At 37.1% G+C, this 23,868-nt stretch overlaps 1 long non-coding RNA gene across 2 annotated transcripts in view, besides 1 other annotated feature; it reads left to right on the forward strand.

The window, feature by feature from the left end:
- LINC01374 (long intergenic non-protein coding RNA 1374) overlaps positions 1 to 23,868 on the forward strand; it is a 61,051-nt gene that overhangs the window by 13,180 nt on the left and 24,003 nt on the right. Inside the window, exon 1 of one of the 2 annotated variants that reach the window (NR_149079.1) lies at positions 21,049 to 21,202. The exons of the other annotated variant lie outside the window; for it this stretch is intronic. This is a non-coding gene — a long non-coding RNA (long intergenic non-protein coding RNA 1374). Of the gene's footprint in view, positions 1 to 21,048; positions 21,203 to 23,868 lie in introns of those variants that run through there. 2 annotated transcript variants of the gene reach the window in all.
- Positions 6,147 to 6,216: a silencer, noted in NCBI's record as "silent region_2598". NCBI's record gives its function as "represses an Ori minimal core promoter by ATAC-STARR-seq in GM12878 lymphoblastoid cells {active_cell/tissue: GM12878}" and the evidence as "EXISTENCE:reporter gene assay evidence [ECO:0000049][PMID:35858748]".

Raw genomic sequence — 23,868 nt, forward strand, 5'->3', positions numbered from 1 at the left:
TCACCTCAAGCATTTATCTTTTGTGTTTCAGACAGTCCAATTATACTCTTAGTTACATAAAAATGTACAATTAAAATTTTTCTTTTTTCTTTTTTTTAACTATACTCACCCTGTTGTGCTAGCAACTACTAGGTCTTATTTATTATTTCTAACTTTTTTTTTTAGCCATTAACTATTTCCCTATCCCCTTGCCCACCCTGACTACACTTTTCAGCCTGTGGTGTCCATCCTTCTGCTCTTTTTAGCTACCACAGAGAAGTGAGAACATCCAGCAGTGGATTTATGAATTATTAGAAGGTACCTCCATGGGTACCTGTTCTCCAATCCACTGTTGATTCCAGGCAAAAATGCTCTTGGAAAAAGATCTTGCATCAAGTGTGAACTTGAACATGTTCCTTTTGCAAGGGGTGCTTTTATTATGTATTTTACTTGACAATGGAAGTATTTGCTCCTAGCTTAAGGGATCTCTCTCTTTTGGCAGGTTAGAAAACAATTTTTTTTTTTACTTTTTGTTTATTTTGGGTCTTTCTTTTTTATTATAATTATGCAAGAAATATCCATTTAATGTTGGGAAAGTGGAGAAGAGTTAAGTAAAAAGAAGAAAAAATGTAAAAATCACCTGTAATCCTACCTCTTAGAGGTAATAACTATTAACAATGAGCACGTGTCCTTGAGTCTTGTTTCTAAGTACATATTTTTTTCAGAGGCTTTTCTGAACCCCAGTATGCAGCTGTCTCCTGGGCTGGAACTAAGCTTAGTGTGGACTGCAACCATGTTCATCTTATTCACTGTCTGAAACCTGGCACCTAGCATAGATCCTGGCACATCAGAATTGTCAAGACAGTATTTGTAGAATAAATGAATTTGTGTATTTATGTTTGCATGTTGGTTTTTAGTTCACGGTTCCTGCAGTTTCCAGCTTGGGTCATATGATACTCCTCACCTTTGAGTCAGCAGGGAGGAGAAAGGGTGTTCACTCTGCAGTCAGAGGTGGTATGATAATTTTCACAGCGTAGCTTTACCAACTTGAGAGCCTGGTAAGTTCTCAATTAACACATGTTGAGGTACCTAGTGCACAGATTCTTTTGGAATTGCTTGTGCAGCTGAGAAGCTAATAAACATCTCTTTCTTAGGGAATTAGCCTTCTCTCTATTTCCTCCATGACTCATAAGGATATGTTTCCATGCTGCAATTTTTGTCCATGTGACCCTAGGTCTCTTGTTCTGGGTTGACTGAATGAAGTATAGAAACTTAACCTGATACAGATGGTCCCCAACTTATAATGCTTCTACTTAAGATTTTTTGACTTTATTATGGTGTAAGACTGCAGCAATTTTGACAAAATCTGCAGTATTCAATAAGTTACATGAGCTCTTCAACACTTTATTATAAAATAGGCTTTGTCTTAGATTATTTTTTCCACTGTAGGCTAATGTAAGTGTTATGAACATGTTTAAGGTAAGTTAAGCTAATGTTTGGTAGGTTAGGTGTATTAAATGCATTTTTGACTTAAAGATATTTTCAACTTATGATAGGTTTATCAGGATGTAACCCCTTCATAAGTCAAGGAACACTTGTATGGAAAAATCTCTTAGGAATTTAGAAATGGGACTGTTTACTTGGCTGGACCATTACTTGTTAACTTGGGAGCTGCAGGGTGGATATCTTTCTTACCATGGGGATTGGGAAGCAAAGAAACCCAGTGAACGGAGAGAATCATGAAGGTTGTACAAAGATCAGCACAAATGAGAGATGGAAAGAGAACCCTAATGCCCTTCCTGTCTTTCATCCAGTTCTTTCTTCAGACCCAGCTACACTATGGATTCCATGATATTCTCTTGTATCTCTTAGCAATGTCCCCTCATGTCTTTTTTTCTAGCTAGCTTGAGTTGGTTTCTGCTACTTGCACCCAAAGAGTCTAAGTAAAACACATAACACACTAGCTTCCTGGCAAAACAAAGATCCCAGCATAGTTTTCTTTAGACCCCGAGAATATAATTCTCTTTTTCATGCTCACTTGGGTGTGCCATTTTATACAGACGCTTTCTAGAGGTGATGTCCAATTAGCCTGGTGGTGGCTCTGGACAGCTATACTTTGGCCATTACTCACAGGGCAGCTTGCTTTCTTGGTAGGTATCAGAAAAAAGCTTAGAGATAATTGCATCCAGTTCCCTTCTGAACTAAATCTGTTATGACTTGGTATTGTGCCAAGCATAGCAGCTCAGCTCTGATGGATTCAATCCTTCTGAGAAACATATGACCAGAATCAGGAACACTGATAACATTTTATAACCTGCTGAGGGCAATGTTTTCCTACAATTAATGCTCATAAATATCTTACATTTTCTGTAAATCCAGCTCTGAACCCAAGATGTTTTGGCAAGAATTACAGAGCGTTTTGGGACTTTCGTCACATGCTGTTCTCTGAATTTAGTAACTGAGTGAATGCATTATGTACCAAATTCTTACTTGTTTAAAGACATAAAGGACTATGTTTTCAAATTGAAGTCATTTTAAGGTTTTGCATCTGTTAAATTGAAGAAAAAAGAAACCCAACCTAGCCATATTTGGGCTGAGTCTATATAGCAAAGGAAAGTCAGGAGTTGCGACAATTGACTGATCAAATGATTAAAAGGACTTAGAAGAGAACAAACTACTTCATGTTTAAGGGACGTGGCTTTTGAGTTAAAGGCATGTGGGTTGGAGCCTGGCCCTGTCCTTGTCTACCAGATGGCCCTGAGCACATTTTGTTACTTTTTTACACTCCAGACTTGTTCTCCATAAAATGGGATTGAAATAGTACCTACCTCAGAATGATTTGTGAAGATTAAATGAGATAGTGCACATAAAGCACCTGGTATAGTGATGGGACATGGTAAAAACTCATCAAATGTCAAATGATTATTTATATGTAGTGCTTGGGTAAGGCAGATTGAGGGTGAGTGTGTGCAGGATAGGATGGGCTGCTGTTAATTTAACAATTCTTTGGAAAAAGGTGCAGTAAAGTATACTCCTGAGAGCCAAATCTGGCTAGCAGCCAGTTTTTCTCTGGCCCACAATCTAAGAGTGATTTTAAGTCTTTAAAGGTGACAATGTGGAATGAACTTCACTTGAAACCCTCTTCTGGGCAAAAGCAAATATTAAACAATCTCTCCACGCTTTTGTCTTCTGAGGCGAATTGCAGATGACCAGCCTACTCTGAGATATTCCAAGATAACACCTGTTTCCACCCTTCCTCAAAACTACCGTAAAACTCGAGGATGATTCCTTTGTTTACCTTGTTTACCACAGGTCCCTTTCTCTCTCTCTCTCTTTTTTTTTTTTTGAGATGTTCTTCATGCAGTAACATTGACCTTATTCCAATAGCTTGAATGAAATCATTGCCTTAATTGTCTGGTGCATTTTGTTTTTGACACAGGGCCATTCTCAAACAAAAGCAAAAACAAAAATATATGCAACATAGACTGTATGTTGCCTTCAATGCCTAAAATATTTAGTATTTTGCTTTACAGAAAAATTTTGCTGACTCCCATGTCTGGAATGAAAGGGTCCCAGTCCAAAACTCTCTACCAGCCATAGACCCTCCTTTGTATACCTGTTGAACATGCTAGGTGATTCCCCTTCTAATTCAGATGCACCATAAGATGAGTGGTTCAATCAGAGCATTGGAACAGGAGGAAGGAGATTGTATAATTGGAAATTATAGCAGATGAAGAATGGCCAAAGGTATTTATGCTGTACATTTTTGTTATATTATCTCATTTAATTCTTCACAATCTTGCATTTATTTACCATCATTATTTAAATGATGAAGATAAATGATTATTTGTCATTTGGTATTATTACAATTTCACAGATTATATAATTGAGTTTATTGAAGTTAATTCATGTTCCCAAAGTCACAGAGCTAATAACTGAAATGTGAATCTTAAATGAATCTGACTCCAAAGCCACGCTTTTTTCTCCTAAAATTGCATTATGTTTAAGAATTTGAAGCTCTTTTGTGTAGAATAATGAGTACACTTAGGTGCTATACTAGGAAGATGGAACTAGGCAGATTTTCCAGCTCATTAAGCAGGAGAATGTTTAACAACTAGGGCTTCCCACCCAGGGGCCAAGTCTGTGTGACGTTTCCCATTTAGTACTTTGTATATTTAAAGATATGATTCCAAGATTTAAAAAAATCTATAATTCTTGCTATAATATGTTTTGGTATATACAGTTTGTTTTGCAGGATTTTGATCAGTGATTCTCAAGGGCAATTAGTATGTGAGAATAGGCCACCTAGGAGAAGGGCATATCAGAATCACTTGAGGAACTTTGTCATTCTAAATATTCTTATAGGTTTTAATACCTTTGAGATCCACTCTTACATTTGGAAGTGTGTCCTTAGGTTTAGACATAAAAAAATATTTGAGTACCACTGTTTAGATACTTGTGCCACAAGTGATAATTTACAAATGTCAAAACTCTAGGAGCATTTCGCATCCTAATTTAGAGTATTAATGGTACTGTTTTATTCCATTTAAGCATATTTAATTTTTTTTAACTTTACAACCCTGAAACCATTTTTGAGGTGGGCGATAATTTTTTTCTCTACCTGCTTAGCAGTTGCAAGGGAAATAACTGATTTGAATTTAATTACACTATTTCCCACCCCTGACAGCACCCCAGTGTAGGTTACCTTCAAGCATTTCAAATTCATGGAAAGGTTGACTTTTTTTCCTGTTTCTCTATGTAAATTATCTATATTTCTTGTTGTGACTTGCTGACCACCTCCACTGGGATTTAGGGGTAAACAATCTGCTTTCACTAGTCTTTGAAATTGGTGATTAGAAGTATGTCTTTGCAGAAATAGCATGCTGTTGGAATATTGGCTCTGAAGAACAGAATAATATCTTTTGTTTTTAAACATGAGAGTTTATTTTTGAAGTACAAGGTTAATGATTTATAATATTCTGAAAGCTTTTAATATGTGTGAAGGAATTATTTGGGTTTAAAATTATTCTACTTTAACATGTTAGAGGAGCGTCTGTTAATTTTAGGTAGCTGGTGCCTTATGCAGAGAAATTTCTTTGACATTCAAAGGCTGTTTAAAAACATTAGTTTGTCTTCTATGGATGTAACTTGACTGGAGTTACATTAGCTTAAAGAAGTTTCAATTTAAATAAAAATGACTGGAGATTAACACTCAACAAATGCCTGAAGGTTACAATTGGGAGCCACATTTGTCATTCTTTTGAGTGTTTTTCTTAAACAAGATTCTGGTTTTAGTGTAGTAAAACCCACGAAAAATATGAGTTAAAACACACAGAAACTTTACAAGGAACACACACACACACACATGCCCTGAAATAAATAGATTTTCTCTGTAAGTCTTTTACAAAACTCAATATAAGTAGCTTCCATTTATTTAACTAGTTGGATTTTTTTAGTATCTGCTATGTGCCAGACATTAAAAACTAAGTATATTTATATATATTGTCTCATTTCATTCTCTTAATAATTCTTTAACGTATGTCCTGTTACCTCCATTTTAGAGATAAAAAATGAAACACAACAAGGTTAAATAAATTGGCTAAAGTCATAGCTTTTTGCCTACTGGAAAAAGATGGCATTTGACAACAGTTCTGACCTGGGTGTTCCAGTTCTTTTGGCCACTAGTTAGCTGTCATCAAGGCCAATTAACATTATTTTATCAATATACATAGTGGACTAGCATGATGTTCTGTAGAAAGTAAAGATAATCGGCTGGGCGTGGTGGCTTATGCCTGTAATCCCAGCACTTTGGGAGGCCAAGGTGGAGAGATCACGAGGTTAGGAGATCGAGACCATCCTGGCTAACATGGTGAAATCGTGTCTCTACTAAAAATACAAAAAGTTAGCCAGGCTTGGTGGTGGGTGCCTGTATTCCCAGCTACTTAGGAGGCTGAGGCAGGAGAATCACTTGAACCCTGGAGGCGGAGGTTGCAGTGAGCCGAGATCATGCCACTGCACTCCAGCCTGCGACAGAGAGAGACTCTGTCTCAAAAAAAAAAAAAAATAAAATAAAGATAATCAATGTCCTTTTTGACTCTATTGAGGTAGGATAGGTAGTCAAGGAAGTAACCATGTCCTTGGGACAACCATGGTGACCTTACAGTGAACACAGTTGACCTCAGCATTTGCATTGTAGTCAAGCTCATTCAAGCAAAGCTATCTCCAGTAGGGAGTTTCCCCTGTAGAAAACACACACATTTTGATTTTACCTGTCCTCAAACGGACACTTTGCTCATTATAATCATGAAAAACACACCCCTGGGTGGAGATTTAAGATGTTAATGAGACATGCAATATATGAACATGCATGTACAGCTACTATGCATGTACACCCAGAGGACCACCCATAACATGCTTACTAGCAACACCTTTTCCCACCTCCTTATGAATAATTATGTAAGGCTCCCATAAAGGAGCCTTCCTAGTGCCAGTCTTTGCTGTCTCATCCTTATGAGCAGCCTCCCCTGAATCCTTTCTCAGGGTGTACTGTCAATTCTGCCATTAACTTTCAAAATATTCTTTCTCCTTTGCAATAAATTGCTCTATGCTTCATCTCCTTTGCTGTGTGTCTCTTGTTTAAATTCTTTTAAACTGATAAGATGTATTAGTCCATTTTCTTTTTCTTTTTCTTTTTTTTTGAGACAGAGTCTCATTCTGTCACCCAGGCTGGAGTGCAGTGGCATGATCTCAGCTAACTGCAATCTCTGCCTCCCAGGTTCAAGCAATTCTCATCTCAGCCTCCAGAGTAGCTGGGACTACAGGTGCATGCCACCACACCTGGCTAATTAGAGATGGGATTTCACCATATTGGTCAGGCTGGTCTTGAACTCTTGACCTTAGGTGATCCACCTGCCTTGGCCTTTCAAGGTGCTGGGATTATAGGTGTGAGCCACCATGCCCGGCAGTCCATTTTCATACTGCTATAAAGAACTGCCTGAGACTGTGTGATTTATAAAGGAAAGAGGTTTAATTGACTCACATTTTTGCATGGCTGGGGAGGCCTCAGGAAACTTACGATCATGGTGAAAGGCAAAGGGGAAGCAAGGCACCTTCTTCACAAGGAGGCAGGAGAGAGAAGTCCTGAGCAAAGGGGGAAGAGCCCCTTGTAAAACCATCAGATCTCATGAGAACTCACTCACTATCATGAGAACATCGTGGGGGAAACTGCCCCCATGATTCAATTACCTCAAACTGGTCTCTCTCTTGACACTTGGGGATTATGGGGATTATACGGATTAAAATTCAAGATGAGATTTGGGTGGGGACAGAAAGCCTAACCATATCAGAAGACAAGAACCAAGGTTTCACAATAGCCATCAACACTATTATGACAGTGTAGGGTTGACTTGCTTGGGGACAAGACAGTGAATGTACAGTGCTGTACTTTCCACCAAAAAGCAAAGCAATTTTGAATTCCATATCAACAGGGATTGACAGAAGCTCATATGCCACATCAAGAACTTCATAATAAGTTCCAGAATCCTTGTTGTTTTGTGCCAATTAGGATAATTCATTCCTCATGGCAGCTGTAATTGCAGGTACCACAATGTTCCACTGTCATTTAACATGATTCATTTTTTAAATGTGCTTTACAGTGAAGTTAAGTGGAGCTATCATGTGACTACCACCTTTGCATCCTTTAAATTTTGATGATGGCTTCAATCTCTGAAGGTACTCCTACAATATAGTATTGATTTTGATTTGGTATTTTGTCTGGGGAGAGCAATTACATGAGCTTCTGTTTGGCTCTTCCTAGCATGGTGGCCCTTATTTTACAAAACGAAAAACCAATGTGAACTTTCTGTTAGGCACTGGGTATATCTAGTTCCAACTATACCCTGAGGTATTGGAGAAATAGCCACAGGATGGGTCTAGACTCTCTGTGAGGAGGATTGGGTCAGAAAGTCATATATCACCTGGCTTCCATATGTGCCTACTCTAATAAGCAGGTCAGTGTATTTCAGGTCCCCTTGTGTGACCCAGATCTTGCATCCCAAATCCTGAAAAGGTCTCATTTCCCTTCCTGCCCCCACCACCATTCATTTACTCTGGTCACAGACCCACTGAGAAAGGATTGGAGGGATTTTTAGTGTGTCTACTTGTGTTGGCATTCCAGGGTTCTTCAAGGAGGTTCAGCTTCTTTTTCAATCAATATGCTCTGGATCTATCAATAGGAAAATGGGTGTGGTAACTTGATTTTTTAGTGACAGCTGATACCAACTTTCTGCTGGCCAGTTTCTGATTTTTTTTTTTTCAGTTGACAGACAACACCATAAAAAGCTGTCTATCTATCTTGCCCCTGGGAACACCATGACCTACTGGCCATTAACACAGACCTTGAAGGTCAAGGTACTGGCTGCCACTCTGACCTTGCTCTTCATAGTGGTAATAATGTTCACTTTTCCTCTTACATTTAGGTACTGCCACTGGGACCCTACCATTTTATAGTCCTGTCATTCCTATTGACACTAAGAAACATGATTCTATGACACCGTTTCCTACAGTGAACTTTATAAAGGATAGTTGTCACTGACCTCACTGGAAGTGAGCCCTTCTCACCAGTGCATTCTTTTCAATACTTTAAAGGTGTTACTCTACAGTCTTCTTGCTTCCATAGTTTTTCACATGAGGTCTGTTGTCCGTCTTTGTGTTTCGGTACATCTTCTGTCTTTGTGCTCTGGCTGCTTTTAAGATTTTCTCTTTGTCACTGGTTTTCAGAAATTGTATTATATAATATTTTTTTTTCCCTTCATGCTTCCCATTATGGTACTCCTAATATATATGTTACACTGCTTTATAATGTCCCAGTAACTGATGATCTATTTATTTCATTTTTTTCTATCTATGCTTTATTTTAAATTGTTTTCATTGCTCCGTTTTCTTTTTTAATAGCAGAATATATTTATATATGACTTCTTTATAGGGAAAGGCTTCATAAACAAGTAACAAAAAATCTCACAAAAGAGAGGAGAAATATATTGTATCACCTTTAACTATATAACTACTATACAGGATAATACACCATAAACATAGTTAAAAGATGAGCCACAGACTCAGAGAAGATATTTACAACAAAACAAAAAACTGGTATCCAGAATCTCTTTACTATATTTGTGAGATAGTATATACTTGTAATAATTTGCTAATATTGTTTTTTATGATTGTATAAAGTCTGTATAAAACAGAAATTCAAAGAAAAGTGGGTGATGTGAATTCACAGAAGAGGAAATCAGAATGGCCAATAAACATTAAAAGAGGCTTAGTCTCACTAGTAATCAGGGGAATGCAAATTAAAATCAGATACCTGATTTTTAGCCAATCAGATCAGAAATAACAAAAAGTTTAATCAGGTACTGGGGGTAACTTCTGTTTCATAAAATATAAACTTTTGGCCTGGCACATGGCTCATTCCTGTAATCCCAGAGCTCTGGGGGGCCAAGGTGGGAGGATCTCTTGAGGCCAGGAGATCTTGAGGCCAGTCTGGGCAAAATAGTGAGACCCCATCCCTACCAAAAAAAATTGAGAAAAGATAAACTTGTGATTGTATTAACTACACATGCATTCACTAACTAGACTATAAGTAATTTTCAATAAGCAAGCAATATCTTATCTATTCCACAAACCTAGTGCAATTCTGGGTGCACAGCAGACCACCAGTAATTATTTGTTGATTTAGGGGTTAATCCACAACAGCTGAAAAGGCATGTCAAATATTAGAAAACCTCAAAAAACTTTTAAAGATAAAAGAGATTACCACCTTTCAGATTATTATTGTGCCAATAATAATAGACCACCATCCTCAAAGAGGGAATTGGCATCTCAGTTATTAAGCACTGTAGCTTTACAGCACCAAAAGATGGCTGTCCCTTTCCTGCTGTCTGAATCCATTCACTGGCTGCATCTTTGTGTTATCTACAGGTGTTACAGCCTCAAAAGGGCTCTGTGGGCCAAAGCAACTACTTATCATTCAAACAAACTTAGCCTATTATTTTTAAATAAAGGGCTTCTCAGAGATTTTAATGTGTTAAGGTACATTCTCTGAGAAGATGATATAATATGCAATGATTTTCAAAATTATTTGAACCAAAAAACCTATTTTAATTTTCAGAGTCTCTGGCAGGACTTGTATTCCACACTTTGGGAAATCCTATTCTAGGAGAGCTTTGTATTTATTGAATTAAGGGACTAGTTTCTGTGCATTATTAAACAAATAAAAATTGTGGCAGTAGTTTCAAGTAAATACAAATTGGTTCAATTATTTTGGAAAACTTTTTAATGTTATTCATTAAGGCTGGACAGCAATCCTCTAGGTAGAACACTCAACATTAATGTGTATGTACATAAGGACATCAAGAAATGTACAAAGGAGGCCCAAATCCTTCTGATTGAGGCCCCACTTCAAAAAATATACAAGAAAGTTCATTACAATATACTTTTCATGACAGCTCCAACGTGGAAACAACCCAAATATCCACCCATGGTAGAAAGAAAAATTTATGTAACAGTACATTATTCAAAGTGAACAAACTACCACCTCATAGGACATCATGGAGAATCTCTCAAATCTCTCAACTATAGTGTTGAATGAAAGAATCCAGGCACAGAAAGAATAGACACTATGATTCCATTTACACAAAGTTGAAAAGTAGGAAAACTAATCTATGTTGTTGGAATTTAGGACATTAACTTCTAGAGAGAGGGAGGAAGTATAATTGGGAGGGGTTAAAGGGACTTTCCGGGTGCTGGCCATGTCCTGTTTCTTGACTAAGATGGTGGCTATAGGTGTGTATAGGTGTATTCACTCTGATAATTAATCTCAGAACTTACGCACTTTCCTTTTCATATGTCAGACTTCATTAAAAACATAAAAAACTCAGCAGTCCAGTCAGTCATTCCATGTATTTGTTATTGTGTGCACTCAGTATTCACTGGTGTCATGGTGATCCCAGGGTCCAGCTGTGGCAAGAGCAACAGTAACTGCTCCCAGTCACCAGCTCATGTAATCTTCATGAGAGCTCCACGAATTAAGCTGCTTTTAAAACACCTACTATCCCCTTTCAATAGGTGAGAAAACTAAGGCTTAGGGAAAATCAATTTTCACAAAGTCACAGACTCATAAATGGTGGTGACAAACTCAAATTGAACTCCAAATCTCACGCTCTTAGCTGCTAGATCCTAGGGAGTGTGCTGCCTGCCTGCTATGCTTCCTATGCTAAGGAGGAAGCCCTTCTGACCAGAGCTGCTTTGACTGGGTTTTAATTTCTCTGTTTTTGATTTTTAATTTTGGTGGGTACATAGTAGTATATATACCTATGGGGTACATGGAACATACTGATACAGGCATGTAATGTGAAACAATCACATCAAGGTAAATGGATCATCTATCATCCCAAGCATTCATCTCTTGCATTATGAACAATCCAATTATACACTTTCAGTTATTCTAAAATACAAGATTAAGTTATTATTGACTATAGTCACCCTGCTGTGCTATTAAACACTAGGTCTTACTCAGTCCTTCTATTTTTGCATACCCATTAACTATCCCCACTTAACCACTCCCCTCCCTGACTACTCTTCTCAGCCTCTGGTAATCACCCTTCTACTCTCTATCTCTATGAGTTCAATTGTTTTAAACTTTAGCTACCACAAGTAAGTGAGAACATGTGAAGTTTCTTTCCATGCCTGGCTTATTTCACTCAACATAATGATCTCCAGTTTCATCCATGTTGTTGCAAATGACAGGATCTCATTTTTTTCATGGCTGAATAGTACTCCATCATGGATATGTACCACATTTACTTTATCTGCTTATATTTTGATGAACATTTAGGTTGCTTCCAAACTTTTTTATTGTGAATAGTGCTGCAATAAATGTGGGTATGCAGATATCTCTTCCATATACTGATTTCCCTTCTTCTGGGTAAATACCTAATGCTAAATGACAAGTTAATGGGTGCAGCACACCAGCATGGCACATGTATACATATGTAACTAACCTGCACATTGTGCACATGTACCCTAAAATTTAAAGTATAATAATAATAAAAAAAATAAAATTCATGTTGAAACTTGAAAAAAAAATACCTAGTAGTAATGTTACTGGATCAAATGGTATCTCTATTTTAGTTTTCTGAGATAAAAACCACAAGAACCAAACTGTTCTTGTGGTTGTACTAGTTTGCATTCCCACCAACTCCTGTGTACAAGGGTTTCCTCTTCTCCACATTCTTGCAAGCATTTATTATTGCCTGTCTTTTGGATAAAAGCCATTTTAACTGGAGTGAGATAATATCTCATTGTAGTTTTGATTTGCAGTACTCTGATGATCAGTGATGTTGAACATCTTTTTATGTGCCTGTTTGGCATTTGTATGTCATCTTCTGAGAAATGTCTATTAAGATCTTTTGCCCATTTTTTAATTGGATTATTAGATTTTTTTTTCTATAGAGTTGTTTGAGCTTCTTATATATTCTGTTTCTTAATCCCTTGTCAGGTGGAGGGTTTGGAAATATTTTCTCCCACTTGGTGGTTTGTCTTTTCACTGCATTGATTGTTTCCTTTGCTGTGCAGAAGCTTTTTAACTCTAGTTGATCCCATTTGTCCACTTTTGCTTTGGTTGACTGTATTCGTGTGGTATCGCTCAAGAAATTTTTGCTCAAACCAATGTTCTGCAGATTTTCCTCAACGTTTTCTTGTAGTAGTTTCATAGTTTGAGGTCTTAGACTTAAGCCTTTTATCTGTTTGATTTTTTAAAATTAATATATGGTGAGAAATAGGGGTCTAGTTTCAGTCTTCCACATATGGGTATCTAGTTTTCTCAGCATAGTTTGTTGAAGAGATTGTCCTTCCCCAGTGTATGTTCTGGCACCTTTGTCAAAAATGAGTTCACTGTAGAGGTAAAGATATGTTTCTGGGTTCTGTATTCTGTTATATTGGTCTATATGCCTGTTTTTTTTTTTCTTTTGCCAGTGCCATGCCATTTTGGTTACTGTAGTTCAGTACTATAATTTAAAGTCAGGTAATATGATTCAAGTTTTGTTCTTTTTGCTTAGGATAGCTTTGGCTATTCTGGGTCTTTTGTGGTCCATATGAATTGTAGGATTGTTTTTTCTACTTCTATGAAGAATGTCATTAGTATTTTGATAGGGATTATATTGAATCTGTAGATTGCTTTGGGTAGTATGAAAGTTTTAACAATATTGATTCTTCCAATCCATGAACAGGTAATATTTTTCCATTTTTTTGGTGTCCTTTTCAAATTCTTTCATTAGTGTTTTATAGTTTTCATTGTGGAGATCTTTCACTTCTTTGGTTAATAACTGGATATTGAATTTTATTTGTAACTGTTATAAATGGGATTACTTTCTTGATTTCTTTTTCATATTGTTTGCTGTGGCATATGTAAATGCTACTGGTTTTTGTATATTGATTTTATATCCTGCAACTTTACTGACTTTACTGACTATTAGAACTATTACAGTTCTAATAGTTTTTTTTTGTGTGGAGTTTTTAGGTTTTTCCAAAGATAAGATCATATCATAAAAACAATGTTAATTTGACTTCTTCCTTTCTGATTTTGATGCCCTTTATTTCTTTCTCTTGTTTGATTGCTCTAGCTAAGACTTCCAGTAATATGTAGAATATCAGTGGTGAAAGTGGGCAACCTTGTATACCATATCTTAGAGGAAAGGCTTTCAGTTTATCCTCATTCTGTATAATACTAGATGTGGATCTGTTGTATGTGACTTTTATTATGTTTAGGTGTGTTCCTTCTATACTCAGTGTTTTGAGAGTTTTTATCTTGCGGGATGACAAATTTTATTAAATACTTTTCCAGCGTCAGTTGGAATGATCATATGGTTTTTGTCCTTCATTCTGTGATGTGATGTATCACGTTTATGGCTTTGTGTATGTTGAACCATCCTTGCATCCCTGGGATAAATTCCACTTGGTCCTAATAGGTTATCTTTTAAATGTGTTGTTGAATTTGGTTTGCTGGCATTTTGTTGAGGATTTTTGCATAGGGATATTGGCCTTTACTTTTCTTTTTCGGATATGACTCTGGTTTTGGTATTAAGGTAATACTGGTGTCATACAATGAGTTTAGAAGTATTCACTCTTCCTCTATTTTTTGGAATAGTTTGAGTAGAATTGGTATTAGTTCTTTTTCTTTACTGGGAGACTACTTATTACAGCTTTGATCTCATTACTTGTTATTGGTCTATTCAGGTTTTGGATTCCTTTATGGTTCAATCTTGGTAGGTTTCATGTGTGTAGGAATTGATTCATTTTTTTTCAAGGTTTTCCAATTTATTGTCATATAATTGCTTATAGTAGCCTCTGGTGATCCTTTGAATTTCTGTGGTATTGGTTGTAATGTCTCCTTTTTCATCTCTGATTTTATTTATTTCAATGTCCTCTCTTTTTTCTTAGCTATGCTAGCCAAAGGTCTGTCAATTTTTCTTTTCAAAAAAGCAACTTCTTGTTTTGTTGATATTTTGTATGGTTTTCTTTATTTATTTCTACTCAGATCTTTATTATTTCTTTTCATCCACTAACTTTGCATTTGGCTTGCTCTTCTGGTTCTTTCAGATGCATCATTAGGTTGTTTATGTAAAATTTTTCTTCCTTTTTGATGTAGGCACTTATAGCTCATTACTGCCTTCACTGTATTCCATAGGTTTTGGTATGTTGTTTTTCCATTATCACTTGTTTCAAGAAATTTTAAAATTTCCTTCTTAATCTCTTCACTAGATTACTGGTCATTCAGGAGCATATTGTTTAATTTCCATGTGTTTGTATAGTTTCCAAAATTCCTCTTATTATTGGTTTCTAGTTTTATTGTACTGTGGTGAAAGAGGATTCTTGATATGATTTCAATTTTTGAATGTTTTAAGACTTGTTTTGTGGCCTAAAATAGGGTCTCTCCTTGATAATGATCCATGTCCTGAGGAGAATGTGTATTCTGCAGCCATTGGATGAAATGTTCTGTAAATATCTATTAGGTCCATTTGGTCTATAGTACATAATGAGTCCAATATTTCTTTGTCGATTTTCTCTCTGGATGATCTGTCCAACGCCAAAGGTGGGGTGTTGAAGTCTACAGTTATTTTTGTACTGAGGTCTCTCTCTCTCTTTAGCTCTAATAATATTTCCTTTATATGTCTGGGTGCTCCTTTGTTGGGTGCATATATATTTAAAATTGTTATGTCCTCTTGCTGAATTGACTGCTTTTTCACTATATGACCTTCTTTGTCTGTTTTTATAGTTTTTCTATTGAAAGCTATGTAGTCTAATATAATATAAGTATAATTACTCTTGTTTTTTTTTTTTGTTTGTTTGTTTTCCATTTGCATGGACTATCTTTTCCCATCCCCCTTAATTTCAGTCCATGTGTGTCTTTACAGGTGAAGTCTGTTTTTTGTAGGCAAAAAGTCACTGGGTTCATTGGGTCTTTTTTTTCTTTTTGATTCATTCAGCCAGTCTGTGTCTTTTGTTTTGAGAGTTTAGACCATTTACATTCAATGTTACTGTTGATGAGTAAGGACTTACTCCTGCATTTTGTTGTTTTCTGGTTGTTTTGTTGTCTTCTCTTCATTTTTCCTTCCTTCCTATCTTCCTTTTAGTGAAGGTCATTTTTTTCTGGTGGTATGTTTTAATGTCTTGCTTTTTATTTTTTTGTGTATCCATTGTCTGTTTTTAGATTTGAGGTTACCATGAGGCTTGGAAGAGAAAAGATGACTTTATCTTGTAACTTGAATACAATTCTTTGTATCTCTTTGACCATATTCATGTTTTCCTTTATATTTCTGATTATATGGAACATGTTTATAATAGCTGTTTTACTATCCTATTACTAAATTCTGCCATTTCTGAGTGTTTTCTATTGGTTGATTTTTCTTATTGTTATGGGTCATGTTTCCTGCTTCTTTACATGCCTTGTGTGTTGGTCACTGAACACTGTAAATTTCATATTGTTAGGTATTAAATTTTATTGTATTTCTTTAAAGAGTATCAGGCTTCGTTCAGTCAATTTACTTAGGATCAGTTTAACTCTTTAGTGGTTTGTTTGTAAGCTCTGTTAGGGTGGGTCCAGACAAGCTTCAGTCAGGGCTAACTTAGAGTCACTGCTAAGGTAATACTCTTCTCACAAGGCTTCCCAGTGCTCAATGTATTACAAGGTCTCTTCAGTCTGGCTGATGGGGTGGTGATATCTCTCCACTCTTGCTGTAGTTTCCAGGAATTATTCATCCTACTTCTGTCCGGTGTTTCTTTCTCTAGCCTTGTGAGGTGTCACCACAAAAAGGTACTGATCAGTACTCAGCCAAAGACTCAAAGGGATCACTCTGTGGAAGTCCAGAGGTCTCCCTCTGTGAAGCTCTTACCTCTTCAGTATTTTGTCCTACACATTTTAGTTGTCTTAATTTCCCTAAAGTTTAGTTTCTATTTGTTCAATTCAAGGAGACTCCTGGGCTCTATTTGGGTACTCTTCCCTGTGCTGTAACCTGGAAACTGCTTCTAGCAATAAGCTGGATCAGTTGTAGGGCGCAATTCACTTGTAGGGATTATAGTTTTATGCTGCTGTTCCCATATCTGAAAATAAATAATGCATTCTTTAATGTCCTCTGGATCCTTCTGGAGAACAGAATCATGTGGGGGGGTTCTTAGGCTCTCATAAATATATTGTAACACTTCCACTTCCATAAGCCTTTTGACCATTTCCTCAAAATACAGTAACACAGTTTCAGCATCCCCATATATTTTATTCTAGGACATTGCCATGTCAAGCCTATCCCAGCAGCGTATTATGACCAGTTACAAAGGCTTTGTATGATATTAAGCCTTGAATCATAGAAAAGTACTCCTATGTTAATACACTTGCTTCTATCCAAACTTATATTCTATCTTCCTTGTCCAACATCCCTCAGCTCTATCTCCCACATTTTCCTCTAAATCCTGCCAGTATGTAGTAGCATTAGGGGTTTATGTTGAGGGGAAAAGAGGGTGAATATTGGGAAGGACAAATATCTGATGACATTTTTATAAGATCTCCCTCCAAGGAGGAGGAAGCTTTTCTTCTCTTACAAGGGGAAGGGATTTGATTCTGTCACCTCAGAGGTCTCAGGACATTCTGGTGCTTTACAATTCTCATCTGTGTCTATCCAGATGTTTCTAAGGTATCAAGATGCCTCTTTGGTTTTTTCTATTAGGACTTGAATTGCTACAAGCATATAATCTATACTGCAGGTATTTCATATAGGCATTAAGTGATTCAGAACCAACTAATTTTTAGCATCATAAAATTAGGGTTTCACCGGCTTGTAGTTTGACAGGATACTTATTTATAAAATGATTTTCACAACAATCTTTAAAGGTAGGTATGATCTCGATTCAACCTTGGAGGAAACTGAAGCTCAGTAAAATTAAGTGACTAGCCCAAGGATGCACAGTGATCAATTGCAAAGAATGAACTCTATTTTGTCTCTGAAGTATGTGCACTGCCCATTATGTTACATAACCTTTCTTTATAGCTCCTATCAAGTCATTCTACATAAGAAACATCTTATGTGGGAAACACTTCAATCTAGCAACTGGTTACTGTAATGAAAAGATATAGTGAAACTAGATACTTGAATTGACCAGTTTATATATTAATAATTTTGTGATGGATTCAATTAAAGATTTTATGAAAACCTTGGAAGAGTATGAAATAATTATACAGTGTTTATTATTTTAGCTCTCATTTATCTATTTTGGATACCTGAACTTATATGTTAAAGAACATTAAGTACATATAGTTAGGTTGGAACTCAGCTGGGATTCAACTTGTTTGCTGAAACTTCAGATACTATAAACTAGTATCCTGTGTAGTCAGAATTATATTATCTTGACTCATTAACTTTATTTAGCATCTATTTTATACTACATACTGATTTTATTAACTTCTAATCACTCTTGTTTCACTTGTTTGAGATAGGTAAAGCAGAATTTATCTGGAGTTTAAGATTAAGGCTGACAGATTAAATCTGCTTCTGTTATTGTTTGTTTCTGATATTAAAAGAGACTTCTTATTATGACCCCAGTCCATCCAAATTGTATACTATAATGGATTCTATATGAATAAATTAAGGGATCTAGATTTTAATAGTAAAACCATTTTATAGCAGCAGTAGTTTTATAAATGGATATTTTACCTCTTAAACAAAATGTAATTGGAAAATAAAATACACTGTCATTCAAATAACATCTCACGTTATAAATAATCAGTTTGGATGCAGCTACAAGATTTTTCTGGCACAGAAGTAAATTAAACACTTTAGTAAATTGTCAAACTGATGAAAATCCTAACCCTGTGCATGTTGTTTTAATGGTGTAAGAATATGGACAACAAGATGTTTTTGTTCTTTTATTTTTATCAGAGTAAATGGAAGAATAGTGTCACAGACAAAGGTTCTAGGATTTTCCTGGGAAAAGGAGGTTATAGCAGTTAGAAACGCCAGCAGTAGCTTACACCAATAATTTATTAAGATTTTTGTTTTTACATTATTGGCATTCCAGGGGTAGGTGGTTACTGTTGTAGGCTCATCTTCTCAACTCTCCCATCAGGGACCCAGTTACTTTCTATCATTCTGAACTGTTATTCTTCGCGTGTACACCTTCATTCTCCTGTTGGTTGCCTCACGGCTACGAGATGGCTGCTATAGGTCCAGCCATCAGGAAAAATGGGGAAGGAGCAGGACATGTAAGATCCTTTATCAGGCCACCTTCACATATATTTTCTAGACAAGGATTATATCACCGGGCCATATTTAGTTGCAAGGAGACTGGGAAAGTGAGGAACAGAATTGATTTGGCTAATCACAACTCATCTCCAGAGAATAGGCAATTTCTGCTTCCAAATAAAGTTGGATACTGTTCAGGAAGAACAGGCTGGATATAAACCGTTTGTGTTTTGGTCAGCAATATGTTCTGGTTTTGGTTTGGTGGGAAACAGGAAGCTTACTGAGGAAGGGAGACACCTGGAAGTAGTCTTAATCTGGCCATAAGGACCATGACACTCTAATATTATTTGATGGTGTGTGGGTTTCTTTTTTTCCAGAGACATCTATAAACATGGCTTTGTTACTAAGCCAAAGCCAATTATCTTTCAAAGTGATCTTCAGTTTGCTATTAGCTTCCCAGAAAGAACAGTATGATTATTAATAAGATTGAGACTAATAAACTACTGATGAGCACCAGTGAGCTAATTTGTAACCTCATTTTTATAAATGACATAAGCTTTTCACCCTAAGAAAAAGAGATATATTGAGAAGACAAACAAACAAAAAATCCAAAACTAATCTTCTTCCTCCAGACAGAATCTCTTCCTTCTTTTCTTCTAACATGAAATATTGTTGTTAACCAAATATTTTTCTTTTAAAATTCTAGGAATCACTTTTTGGAAATCTAGAATTAGTGAACTCAAATGGTTGTTAATGTTTTATTATTGAAATAGTGAAGCAAACTAAAATAATTAAAACTGATATGGATTACCATATTTATTAGCATATATTTCCTACATAATAAATAGTTTGCAGTTGATATGAGAAGAGAGGAAGCTGTGAGATTACCTGACTGGATGGACCTTTGCAGCACTGACACCTGCTGCTGAATTTCCAGAAATTTCTCCTGGCAAATCTCTGTGCTGAGAAAGGAGTAAACCAATTTAGAGAAGAGGCTTACGAGTCCAAACAGGAGCAGATGATGAAGAATCAGATAAACATTAACGCCTCAACCTACTTAAGCAACTAAGATTCAATTAAACCCAGTTCATACCTCTTTGGTAAGTCTGAAGTTTCAGAACACTTGCTCTAAAATTCAAATTACTGAGCTGTACAAATTATTTTTCCTCCAATTGTGTGATGAAATATGGGAAAGACAGAAAAAGACACAAATGCATATGGTAATCCAGAAAAGATTCCCCCTCCCTATTTTCTTTTGAGTTAGATAAAAGCTAGAGCACCTAACAGAATAAGATACCGAGAGAACCAGTGTAGTCATCCAAAACAATGAAACAACTATTTTAATTCATAAAAAAGCATCATTGTAGTAGCCTTCATTAGGTATTCCTTCTAAAGTCACTTTAAAGGAAAAAGAATATGTTCAGACATAGCAAAAGAAAAAAAACACGAAGGCAAAATTCCTTCAGATCAGGTTTTGGAGATTTTTTTTATATTAAACCCATTTTGTAAATAGGTTTTCCACCTGATTTAAACCAATCGTTTTGTTATTCAAAAGTCTAGGTTGTTGTTTTGCATTTTAAAATACAGCCATTCCCCAGGGAACTGTCTCTGCGATTAGAGGGAGAATTTTAAATTCCCCTTTCCACAGATAGATGTGTACAGGAAAGAACACCAAACTGAAAGAGCAGCTTGGCTCTGCCACCTATCAAATTAGGTAAATCTGTCTCCCTCTGGGTTTCACTCTCTCCTCTGTAATATGATAAGTACCTAGATTGGACTAGATGATCTTTCAGTTTCCCTCTCTGAGTCCGTTTGGGGGCTGCTATAATAAATACCATAGACTGGGTGACTTAAACAACAAACATTTATTTTGCACAGTTCTGGAGGCTGGGAAGCTCAAGATCAAGGTGTTGTTGATTTGGCTCCTGGTGGGGACGTGCTAGTTTTGGATACGGCTTGTTTATCCCTGGCAAATCTTATGTTAAAACTTGTGGTGGTGTTGGGAGGGAAAACCTAGTGGGAGATGCTTAGGTCATCATCAATGGCTTGGTGCAGTTCTTTCAGCAGTAAATTCTTGCTCTAGTGGGACAGGATTAGTACTCATGAGACTGAATTAGTTCCTGATACAGTGAGTTGTTATAAAACCAAGACAACCATTGTGAAACTGCCTTTGCAAAGATTATGACGTGAGAGAAGTCTGGCATGGCCGCCTCCGTCTTGCCTCTAGCATCACAGGCTGGCTGTCTCCGCTCATTCCTGGGCATGGACGAAGCTAACCATGAGAAGAATTTAGTTTACAGTTTAATTGTGAAGCAAGGATAATAATAGTCGCTTCCTAAAACTGATCCGCTCCTTGTTTGGAGACTGAAACAGTCTTTGTAAGACAATGAAAGGTCACAAGATTAGTATTCTGAGAGGGGCCTGAATTCTGCTAAAATGTAAGTATAGTTAAATGATAAACAGCTGTTGTTTCCTAGCTTGTTTTCCTATAATCCCTTACTGCTCAGGAGTCATGAAGCAGAGGCCACAGACTTGTAATTTCACCAATTGCTCCTACAGGTAACATCACTATCGCAGAATGTAAGATTGGTCTTTTGAGATTGTTTAGATTTTTGTATTCTGGTGACAAATTGATTTCACCTAGACCCATGCCTGATGACTCAATTGGTCCTGTGACCCCCTTCCAGAGGCTGACTCAGTGCACAAGAACCATTTTCCATACCTCTATAATTTCATCCCTAACCAATCAGTAGCACCTGATTTCTTATCCTAGCCCCCCCCCACCCCCCCCTACCCCCCCACCCCCCACAAGTTATCCATAAGAACCTTAGACTGAGTTCTTGGGGAGGCTGATTTGAGTAATAAGCTTCATCTTGGTTAGCCCTGTGTTAATCATAAGTCCTTTGCCACAAAAACCTGCTGTTAGTGCAATAGCTTTTTTGGGCAGTGGGCAAGATGAACCCATATGCTTGGGTTTGTTTCCTCTTTGTGTATGTTCACTTCTCCTTTAACCTTCTATGTTATATTTAGACCTAGCATATGACCCTCACCAGAAACTGAGCAGATGCTGACACCAGAACAGATGAAAAACTGACTTTTGAGGGAGAGGTTTGCATCTGTGGAGGAAATGAAGTGAAGTAAACAACAGATAGAAACAGGCTTTCTTTGAAGCCCCCCTTGTTGGGACCTGGGAAAGATGAATTGAGAGTCTGACAATTTAAAGCTCTGACAGAAATATTTACTGCTGGCTACGATTTATTTTTTTCTGAAGGCTGCTACCTGTGAGGTTTCATCTGCATAGTAAGACCCCTTTGCTAGTAAGGTGTTTCCTCTTCTCTTCCTTCCATAACCTGTTTTGCTACCATAACCTATTTTGCCATGCTCTAGAGCCCTCATTTCTTCTGTAACCTCAAGATGGTATAAAAGTGTCAACCCTCTTACATTTCTTTGAGTTTTAATATTTTATATGACTCTTGTGCACATATATGTATGTCATAAAATTTGAATGCCTTTTTCCTACTAATCTGTCTAGTATCAGATTGTTTTATAGACTCAAATTATTGAATCTTAAGGGGAAAAATGTAAATTTCCCTATAGGTTTATAGCTAGAAGGAACTTGCCTTGAGTCTCAAATGAGATGTTGGACTTTGGACTTTTGACTTGATACTGGGACTAGTGAACACTTTTGGAACTATTAGAAGAGAAAATTGTCTAATTGTGTTTTGAATGTGAGAAGGACATGAATTTTGGGGGGCCAGGGGCAGAATGCTATGGCTTGGTTATGGCTTGTTTGTTCCCACCAAATCTCATGTTGAAATTTGATCCTCAATGTGGCAGTGTGGGGAGGTGGGGCCTGTTGGGAAGTGTTTGGGCCATGGGGGAGGATCTGTCATGAATGGCTTATTGTTGTTCTCCTGGTAGTGAGTTCTCGCTCTAGTAAGATGGAATTAGTTCTTGCAGAAACAGATTAGTTCCTGAGAGAGTGAGTTGTTGTAAGGCCAGAATACTTCTTGATTTTAGTTCTGCTTTGCATGTGTCTACTTTTCCTTTGACTTTCTCTGCCATTTTTTGACGTAATATGTGGCCCTCACCAGAAGCTGAGCAGGTGCCTATGCCATGTTTCTTGTACAGCCTGCAGGATTATGAGATAAATAAACCTCTTTTCCCTGCAAACTACCCAGTCTCAAGTATTCTCTTATATCAACACTAAATGGACTAAGACAGGGCTCTTTTCCTGGTTTGAAGATAGTCATCTTCTTGCTTATCCTCACATGAGAAAAGGAGGGAGAGTTCATCTCTTTTGTCTCTTTTTATAAGAGGACTAATCCCATTCATGAGGGCTCTACTTTTATGACCTGATTACCTTTCAAAGGCCCCACCTCCAAATACCATCACATTGGGAATTAGGGTTTCAACATGTGAATTTGAGAGGACACACAGACATTCAATCCATAGCACTTTTTCAGCCTCAGTATTCTGTGTTTTCCAGTCTCTGTGACAGAGGCCTGTATGGTCTAGGCAGGCAACTTAATGGAAGAAAATGGGCAGGTTCAACTTAAGGCAAACTGAGGAGAGTGTGCCCAGGCTAAGGGACACAGCTACTACTCAGCTCAAGCCCACAGGTGTGAGCAAGATTGCAAGGCTCATGTTGTAATATCTTATTTTTCAGGGGAGACTGCTCAGAAGTCAATCTTTTTGCCCTTAAGTCTATTCTTCCACTCCCACCGCTTAGCTTTAAATTGTGCAGACTGACTCCTATAGGCTGCGGTTTCCAGATTCCATTTCAGCTGGCTTCTGTCTGGGTCCTACCAATGGGAGGCACTGGTGGGAGATGGGGGTGAGGAAAAAGGGAGAAACTTGGTTGTTTCTAACCCTGCCTCTCAGCCTTGAACAATGCCTCCAGCAACAGAAATATCTCCAAAATGACGCTAGCTTTTGAGAGACAGGCCTATTACAACTCCGGCTTCCACTGAGTGACCTTAGTTCTCTCCTCATCCCTTCCTTCACACCCTATATCTGCCTCCTCCTCTCTCTCCCGTTTCGATGTGACAGTGGCTTCCTTTTGTTGCTAATCTCTATGCTCCCTCACAATTCCCTGTTTATC

This window comes from Homo sapiens, chromosome 10, assembly GCF_000001405.40.
Source record: "Homo sapiens chromosome 10, GRCh38.p14 Primary Assembly".
NCBI classification, from domain to species: domain Eukaryota; kingdom Metazoa; phylum Chordata; class Mammalia; order Primates; family Hominidae; genus Homo; species Homo sapiens.